This window comes from Homo sapiens, chromosome 8 (genome assembly GCF_000001405.40).
Source record: "Homo sapiens chromosome 8, GRCh38.p14 Primary Assembly".
NCBI classification, from domain to species: domain Eukaryota; kingdom Metazoa; phylum Chordata; class Mammalia; order Primates; family Hominidae; genus Homo; species Homo sapiens.
In genome coordinates this window covers 107495449-107504154 of record NC_000008.11, presented here as the reverse complement: position 1 = coordinate 107504154, position 8706 = coordinate 107495449, and the positions used below count along the sequence as shown (strand labels likewise).

The 8706-nt window shown below is 39.3% G+C and overlaps 1 protein-coding gene across 3 annotated transcripts in view, besides 1 other annotated feature; it reads left to right on the top strand.

Annotated features, from left to right (window-relative positions):
- Positions 2538 to 2738: a silencer, noted in NCBI's record as "peak7144 fragment used in MPRA reporter construct". NCBI's record gives its function as "represses an SCP1 promoter by STARR-seq MPRAs in K562 erythroleukemia cells {active_cell/tissue: K562}" and the evidence as "EXISTENCE:reporter gene assay evidence [ECO:0000049][PMID:32103011]".
- Positions 6237 to 8706, top strand: part of ANGPT1 (angiopoietin 1) — a 248437-nt gene continuing 245967 nt past the window's right edge. For all 3 annotated transcript variants that reach the window (NM_001199859.3, NM_001146.5, XM_047421699.1), the window contains exon 1: positions 6237 to 6893. In NM_001199859.3, the coding sequence (NP_001186788.1) occupies positions 6597 to 6893 (297 nt within the window). In that variant the 5' untranslated portion in view covers positions 6237 to 6596. The remainder of the gene's footprint in view (positions 6894 to 8706) is intronic.

Below are 8706 nucleotides of genomic sequence, written 5' to 3'. Positions count from 1 at the left end.
TGTAGGGAAAAAGAGAAGAAAGAAGGAGGCAGTTAGTAAATGCAAAGTAGTTTATATGCTTTTTATAATAAAATCTCACTGGGTCTCCAATGGAAATCCTTCTTCATTCTCGTATGAGGGGAATGTTGGCATCTGTATTTCTGCATGGTACAGTCCTCAGCTGTTTGTTTTCTTTTCTGGCTTGCGTATTTGTAGAAGTTACCTTCATTGTAGAATTAACAACTAATCTCACATTGAGAGGTATTTCTGAGATGTTTCTTGAATGGTTTTTCAACCGTGGCAATGTTCATAGGTGGCTGGAAGTATTAGGTATTATTCCACTACCACTGCTGGGATTGACTTTTGGAATCTATGGACTCTGGGTGCCTTCTATGACTCACCACAAAGTGAGATCTCTAGGGCCTATGCAAGTCTAGCACCTGAAAACTTGTAAGGGACTGGCTCTGTGTCTTCACATCTCATCATTGAGATTTAAGGTGAATGAATCAGACAGTCAGCTGGATATTTATAAAGTTCATCCTCTGTGCCAGGAAAAGGGGACAGACAGATCAATAAGACAGACACAGTTCTAGCATTTGGGACTCTGATCTAGTGTGAAAAACAAACCTGAAACAAATGACTTCAATTGCATTCACATTAATAGTCTGTGTAATCCATATGTTAGCTGTTCCCATGCTTGAAGCAAAGACCAATTCTTCAATTCCTCTTATTCACCTTTAAGAAGTCATTTGCCCCAAAGTATATATTTTACTGAAACAGATAAGACAAATTTGATCTCACTGGAAACATTATTTCACTCCAAATCTCCTTACTTGATATATCTTCCCAAGTCTCTCATGGCCACACAGCCACAAGCCTCCTCTCTCTTTCAGCAGCTCTGCCTGACACAGAATCTCTAAACCTCTCTAGCTCCAGTCCTCCACTTCTAGATCTTTTCCTGAGTCTCTTAATCCCTTCTCTCCTTTCTTAGGTAGAGCAAATTAATTCAGTCTCAGCGGTTTCCACCTTGTATATCTATAGTTTAAAACCAACTTAACAGGCTGAGCCTGGTGGCTTACGCCTGTAATCCCAGCAGTTGGGGAGGCCGAGGCTGGTGGTTTGCTTGAGTCCAGGAATTCGAGACCAGCCTGGGGAACATGGTGAAACTCCATCTCTACAAAATAATACAAAAATTAGCCGGGTACGATGGTGCATGCCTGTAGTCCCAGCTACTAGGGAGGCTGAGGTGGAAGGATCACTTGAGCCTCAGAGGCAGAGGCTACAGTGAGCTGAGATCATGCCACCGCACTCCAGCCTGGGTGACAAAGCGAGACCCTGTCTCAAAAATAAAATTAAATTAAACCTACTTAACAAACAAGATACCTAACAATTACCAGAAATTTCTGTCATCAAAAGACAGAGGAATATTTATATGATAATTTTTATTTTCCTCACTTATCTATATGCCTCCAGTCCTCATCCCACTTGCTGCAGTGTTTCCAGCTTTTTGTAGCATCCTCCCAGTTATTCTGGGAGTTCTAAATGGATATTTTGCATGTACTCATGAAGTGCCTTCAGTTACCAGATGATATCCTCCATCTTCTTCTGTTTTTGGTTTTGTCCCCTGTGATATTTCCAACTGTTGTGGATACCTTTGCTGCCTACATAGTTGAGTGAAGGTGTCTTGGCTCTGCTTCCAGGAGCTACAGCCAAGTGCCCTCCCTCCTTTTAGATAGAGCTGCCACTTCTATAGGCCTGATGATAGTCTTGATCCCTAAAAGTGCCTGAGCAGAGTCACAGAATATGGCACCCTTGGTGTGGTGAATCACATTGTGTTCAGAACACAAAGTAGGAGAATACTTTCCCACCCCTTTTTCCCCTATAAGTGGTTGTATAAATACCAGAGGACTATTTCCTTGAATCTCATTGCCTGGTGGTATTTTTGAGAAATAAATACTATTTTTTTTCATATATTTTGATTTTATTGTAGAGCAGGAGTGATGATCAAGATATCTAACAGATGACATGGCATAGGACCAACCATTTAGAATATTTCTAAAGTATAATCCGATTAATCAGATTGGCTGTTGGTAAGCATATCTTACCATACTGGTGCATCCTGATTTAATATTATCCCTGTTTTGGAAGATCATAACATGAATCTGTGAAAGCCCTGGGTTTCAGAGGAAAGGGACCTCTGAAGGGGGAAGTCACCATGTTGTTCTTGTTCCCTAAATTATAAGAAATATTTTCTCAATACTGAAGTATTGTCATAAACAATATAGCTCAGTGGGAAATGAATGTGAGCCTCACAGTTAGATGGATTGAGGATCAAATTCCTGTTCTGCCTCCTAAGAGATCATAGATCCTGGGCGATTAATCTCTATGGCTCCACATTTCTCATCAGCAAAATGGGAATAATAATATATAATATTACATAATTATGGGGGTTCTGTAAACATTAGATGAGAAAATTATTTGTTAAGTGTTAAAAAATACTATGAATTATTATTGTACTTTGCTCTTGCGTCTAACTCATTCTTTAGAATAAGTTTGGCTTTATCCTCAGTTCTTCATGCCTAGGGATTCTAGGCAAACTCACCCAACAAATGCAATGAATGTGGCCAGTCATGTAGTAACCAGATAGAGAGTCAGGAAGTTGCATCAACTGAGTCATTAATCAGCTCATTCATTTATTTGCTTATTCTTTCATTCCTTCAGACAAAGTGCATAGTGAATGTTGAGGAATCAATGATGACAAAGAGAAGATCACTTTAGCAGCTCACAGCAAAAGCAAGAGACAGATAAAAAAAAAGGCAACAATTAGCAAGCAACGTGAGCAGTGCAGTTTTGGAGACATGAGGAGAAGGTTATTGAAATTTAACACAGAGAGCATTTATTGGACCTGGAGAAATTAAGAAAGCTTTACCAAAGAATTATCAAAGACTGTTTCTTAGGATAGATTTAGGCACATTAAGTTCTGGTATAAATGGCTCTTGGTCCCTTTGGAAATTTCAGACTAAGTGGGACATTTACTAGGACTCTTTGTAAATATGAGATCAAAACCTTAAAGCCTACACTTCCTTATTCCAGATCTCTAATAAAACACAAAGCTTTTGGGTTCAAGCTACCACAGAATTCAATTGAACAGAATTGTTTAGTTCTTTATAAATATTTTATCCTTCATGGAGGTGTGGTAGATGAATTTTAATTGGCTTGTTCTTATTACTCGCTTATTATTATTATTATTATTTAGAAAGGGTCTCACTCTGTCATCCAGGCTGGAGTGCAGTGGCAATCATGGCTCACTGCAGCCTCAACCCCCTGGACTCAAGCGATTCTCTCACCTCAGCTTCCTGAGTAGCTGGGACCACAGGTCCTGGGCGTGCCACCACACCTGGCTAATTTTTATTTTATTTTATCTTGGGTAGAGACAGGGAGGGTCACCCTATGCTGCCCAGGCTGTACTCAAAATCCTAGTCTCCAACGATCCTCCCACTTCGGCCTCCCAAAGTGCTGGGATTACAGGCATGAGCCACTGAACCCAGCCCTACTCCCTAAATTTTAATGCATCCTGAATTCTGCCCCATTTCTGAATAATCAGCAACACACAACAGTGTTGCTGTTGCTTAGATGCATGATCCCAAAGACATATTATCTTTAGTGTGTCAGGATCCTTAAATGTACCTACAGTCTCCTTAACTGGAGTTCCAAAAACACCGGAGTCAATTCTGCACATCCTTGTGTTTTCTAATTACTTAAAATTCATCTTCAGACATTTTTTTTCAGAATGACACTAGTACTTCCAGTGTTATGGTTTAAGGTTGATTTTGTTTTTCTGCAAAAGAAATAAATCAGTCTCTACATTTTTCTCTGTCTCTTTGTCCCTCGACCCCTCCTTTTTTATTTGCATTTCAGGCTTCTCTTTCTTAGTGTCTACTTTTCCCTCAGGAAATTGTGCATTCCTGCTTTTCATTTATTCTAATTGCGAAAATTCACATGGATAAGGACACAGAGACGTACACAGACACACACGTGGAGGAACAGATTTTTAACAGTCTCGGCTATTTAAAAACACAGGAGCACTTTAATAGAAACCTCACCACTCATCCATTAGTCTTCTGCCAATTTTCTGCTGTATTTAGTTCTTCGCAAAACACTTCTAGGTGTCGGGTTTGGACTCTCTTCTTTCCATGGATAATTTTCAAATCAAGCATTATTGGAAAGTGTTCTTAGACAACCTGCATTTTGCCAGTGCACTTCATCTTTGTGGCTGTGCATAGGTTACCTGTCACTGTGTGTGTGCGTGTGTGCGTGTGTGCGTGTGCGCGCGCACGCGTGTGCTGGAAAAGGCCTGAATCACTTTGGAGAGATACTCTGGTTTTAACAGTGCTTTTTCTTCTAGGTACGTCACTTCTCCTGGTTTAGGACTGTAAATCAATGCAGCTGGAGCGCTTTTGAAATTGCTTTCATTCCTTGCAGAGATTTCCAAAAGCAGGCTGGCCTGGTGGTTTGAAACAGGCTCTGAGTCAGTTTGCCTGAGTTCACATACTGGCGCCATCACTTGCCAGCTCTGTGAATTACATCCTGTTAGCCTTTCTGTGACTCAGTCTTCCCATTGATAAAATGGGGTTAAACGGATGATATCCGTGATCTTAGGTTTGTTGGAATGATTAAGTGAGATAGTGTGTAAGGAGTGCTTCGCCTGGAAAACAGTAAGGTCTTAATGCATGCCATTATTATTGTTGCACAGGAGTGATACATGACTCAATGAGGAGACACGCAAAAGTTCAAGAGGCTGCAAAAGTGGTTCAAATATTTTATTGCTGTGTTTGGCATAACTTGCTTCCATATCTGTCCAATCAGAAATTTGTTATTTGGTGTGGAAAGGACTGATGAATCTCGGCAAGGTTTCTTTCCCCAAGTAAATCGCATTTGTTCTGGAATTTGTTTTGACCTCTCCTCTAACTTCTCCCTAAATGCCCATCTCTAACCACTACGGACCTTCACCCACTGCCCTGTTCTCCTTCCAAGACATGGGAGATGACAGCTGTGGCTTCTGTTTTCACACCATGACTGCAGTTGTCTAAAAGCCCTCCCAGTTCCTAATGAAAATCCCAACTCATAATTCAGGTTTTCTGCATCTAGTAAAGATCTCAAAGCCGTTCCCTAAATTCTACAATTATTGCCTGTTTATGTTTATGGGTCCCTTTGTTCAAATGTTTATACGCTGCCTGTGGGAAATCATCTTCTGATAATTTTTCTTTCTTCCTTCACAGAAGCACAGAGATGTCTCCTGTACAGCCCATTGCTGGCTGTTAGCACACCTGATATATGCTTGTTCTCACATAGTATGTCTGTGCAGCCACAGGAGGTTTTTATGTGGAACTTCCACACCAGTGTTAAAGACAGCCATAGCCACCAAAGAGATCCTTGTAAAATACAGGATTAGGATATACCACAGGAATTAATAATTCTCAAGCCACTGCTTTAAATTGTAGCCACATTGTTTTTGTAGGGAAGTTGCTCAATTTATATACACAGAACATGAAGGGTTGCATTCTGATCAGGACACCAGTTTCATTTAAGAACCCTATACCAAAAGGTACTTAGATAACCCTCTTTAATATGCACATACTATATTGCTTTGTGCAACATATTGCTTTGAGCAACAAATGATGCTAATTTTCTTGCTAATTTGATCCTCTCTGATTATTTTCTTCAACTCCTAAAAGTCTAAGTGAATACAATGAAAGAATACCATCTGTAAAAACTGTTTTTTAACATATTTTTCCTCAGAGTCAAGAATACATGTTTTTTAAAGACATTTAATAATGATATGGGTTTATCATTCTCTATCAAAAATAATTCCATTGGACATTATGCCAATTTTCTTCTTAGGGTCCCTCGACTAAATAGTAACTTTAAAAACATACTGCTAGTTTGCTATATTTTAGTAGGTCAGCATGCACACCAAAAGTGTATTAAGGTGGACTGCTCTATTTATTGATTTGCCATGAATCTGCTAAAGGCTCAAGGCAATTGTCTGTGGAAAGGGGCGGGAGGGCCATACATGATCGAGGTCATGCGCATCTAGCCAATTTGTAAGACGATCCCGCCGCCCTAAGCCATCAGCAATCCTTAGTATAGGGGCACACTCATGCATTCCTGTCAAGTCATCTTGTGAAAGGCTGCCTGCTTCCAGCTTGGCTTGGATGTGCAACCTTAATAAAACTCACTGAGGTCTGGGAGAAAATAGCAGATCTGCAGCAGATAGGGTAGAGGAAAGGGTCTAGAATATGTACACGCAGCTGACTCAGGCAGGCTCCATGCTGAACGGTCACACAGAGAGGAAACAATAAATCTCAGCTACTATGCAATAAATATCTCAAGTTTTAACGAAGAAAAACATCATTGCAGTGAAATAAAAAATTTTAAAATTTTAGAACAAAGCTAACAAATGGCTAGTTTTCTATGATTCTTCTTCAAACGCTTTCTTTGAGGGGGAAAGAGTCAAACAAACAAGCAGTTTTACCTGAAATAAAGAACTAGTTTTAGAGGTCAGAAGAAAGGAGCAAGTTTTGCGAGAGGCACGGAAGGAGTGTGCTGGCAGTACAATGACAGTTTTCCTTTCCTTTGCTTTCCTCGCTGCCATTCTGACTCACATAGGGTGCAGCAATCAGCGCCGAAGTCCAGAAAACAGTGGGAGAAGATATAACCGGATTCAACATGGGCAATGTGCCTACACTTTCATTCTTCCAGAACACGATGGCAACTGTCGTGAGAGTACGACAGACCAGTACAACACAAACGCTCTGCAGAGAGATGCTCCACACGTGGAACCGGATTTCTCTTCCCAGAAACTTCAACATCTGGAACATGTGATGGAAAATTATACTCAGTGGCTGCAAAAAGTAAGTGATTGCTTTCAGTTTCTAATAGCACGGACCTTTTTCCTTTCTTGCACTGCAGCTAACTTAAAGTTCCTTAGGGGAGCATTTGTGTATTTACCTTTTGCTCCAGGGGGGCAGTGTTTGCAATTGCAAGACGGCTGTCTGGGTTTGGCTTCCTGGGTAAGCCAAGGTTTGGGGGCTTGCCCAAACCTATGAATGTGTGGGGGCACCCCGTTTGTGTGTCTAGCCCTGGCAAATTTTATGACATTTTTGGTTTCTCTTTTCTAAAGTTCAGCATTAAGGTTCTCTCTGTCAAAACACTACCTTAAGAAAGAAAGTATGTACCTCTTAAGCAAGTTGGTGAAAAATAAATAATAATGACAATATTAATTAATAAGATCAAATCGATTTTGCACCAGAAAATTTTGTGCCGCTGGGGTGGCAAATCATCACAAAGTATTTGTTTTTTTAACCTTTATAAAAATTAACATGAAGTGAGAGTAAATATAAAATATGATATTTGGTTGGAGAAATTGTATATTTATGTAAAGGGAACTGTTAGTTTCAGCAAGTGGTAGAATAGTAGACTGATTTCTGTTAAATATTTTTTTCTTCTGTCCTTGAGAAAAAAAATTAAAAAGATACATTGTAATGTTAACTGTCGGAAAGGGGTTGCTCGCTCACGATGAGGGCATGCTGGCTGTTGAGGAAGACATGCACCTGCAGATATGGGCTGAACGCAGCATGTAGTCTACTATATTCCTGAAATACCTCCCTTCTCAGGGCATTGTAGTTAGAGACAGTACCTGGCGAGTTTAAGTATCCATGTTATTTGATGAATGTTAATGTTGAGTATGAATGTAATCTCAATTTATAGAAATCAAATCGAATAGTTTATCCAGTTATTTATCTACAAACCATTTAAGTTTTTGTTGAAGATAAGCCTATTAAATTATGAACACACTTCTGCAATTCATTCTGTCTTTGCACTCTGTTTAATAATAGGCAGCCGAGAATAAGTATATTCAACTGACTATGCTACTAGAAGGGAGGCAATGTCTCAATTTGTGAAAAGCTTCTCTCCCTTGTTAATGGATTCACTTGGTACATGTAGATAGGTATGCAATCAGGCTTCTTTAAGTTAGTCTGTTAACCGGGCAATCCCTTTAAAAAGATAAAAGATAGGGAAAGGACAAATGCTCTATTTTGTTCCTGTGTGGTCACACTCACTTAGGTCATTGCCTGCTGAATCATGCCAAGTAATAGTTATTCTACTTTTGTCCACTAGGGACTGAACTAAGATCACTGTTATTTTATTTGACACATTAACTGGAACTTAGTAGTTCTACAGTTTCCAAAGCTGATATTGTAATCTTTCTATTACAGACTATAGGACTGTAATAGGCAATCAGTAGGTAGGCAGAAGAATAAAAAGCAAACAGAACTCTCAGGTTTTTTACAATTGTAGCTGAAATTTTATGCATTACTTTCAGTAGTAGTTTATAATAGGATGTTTGTATTTTTCTTTGGTAAAATTTATTTCCATTGTAAACAAATGATTTTGGTTGAACAGCTTGTTATTATTCTTCAGTACACCATCCGTATAGTTTTTAGTGAGAATTCAATCATTACATATTAGTCTGGATTCTTTGAGGGAACGGGAAGGAAAATTTAGTCCCAAGTTATCCTGAATGATCTATTCTACCAAAAACGTAATGTTTTGTTTGCTTAAAGCGTATAATCACAATAGTGATTCAAACATAGTAATGCATATTTCTTGTTGCTATGCAATTATTCAGCAGTGACAGGGTAAACACATAATTCTGCTGGGCTT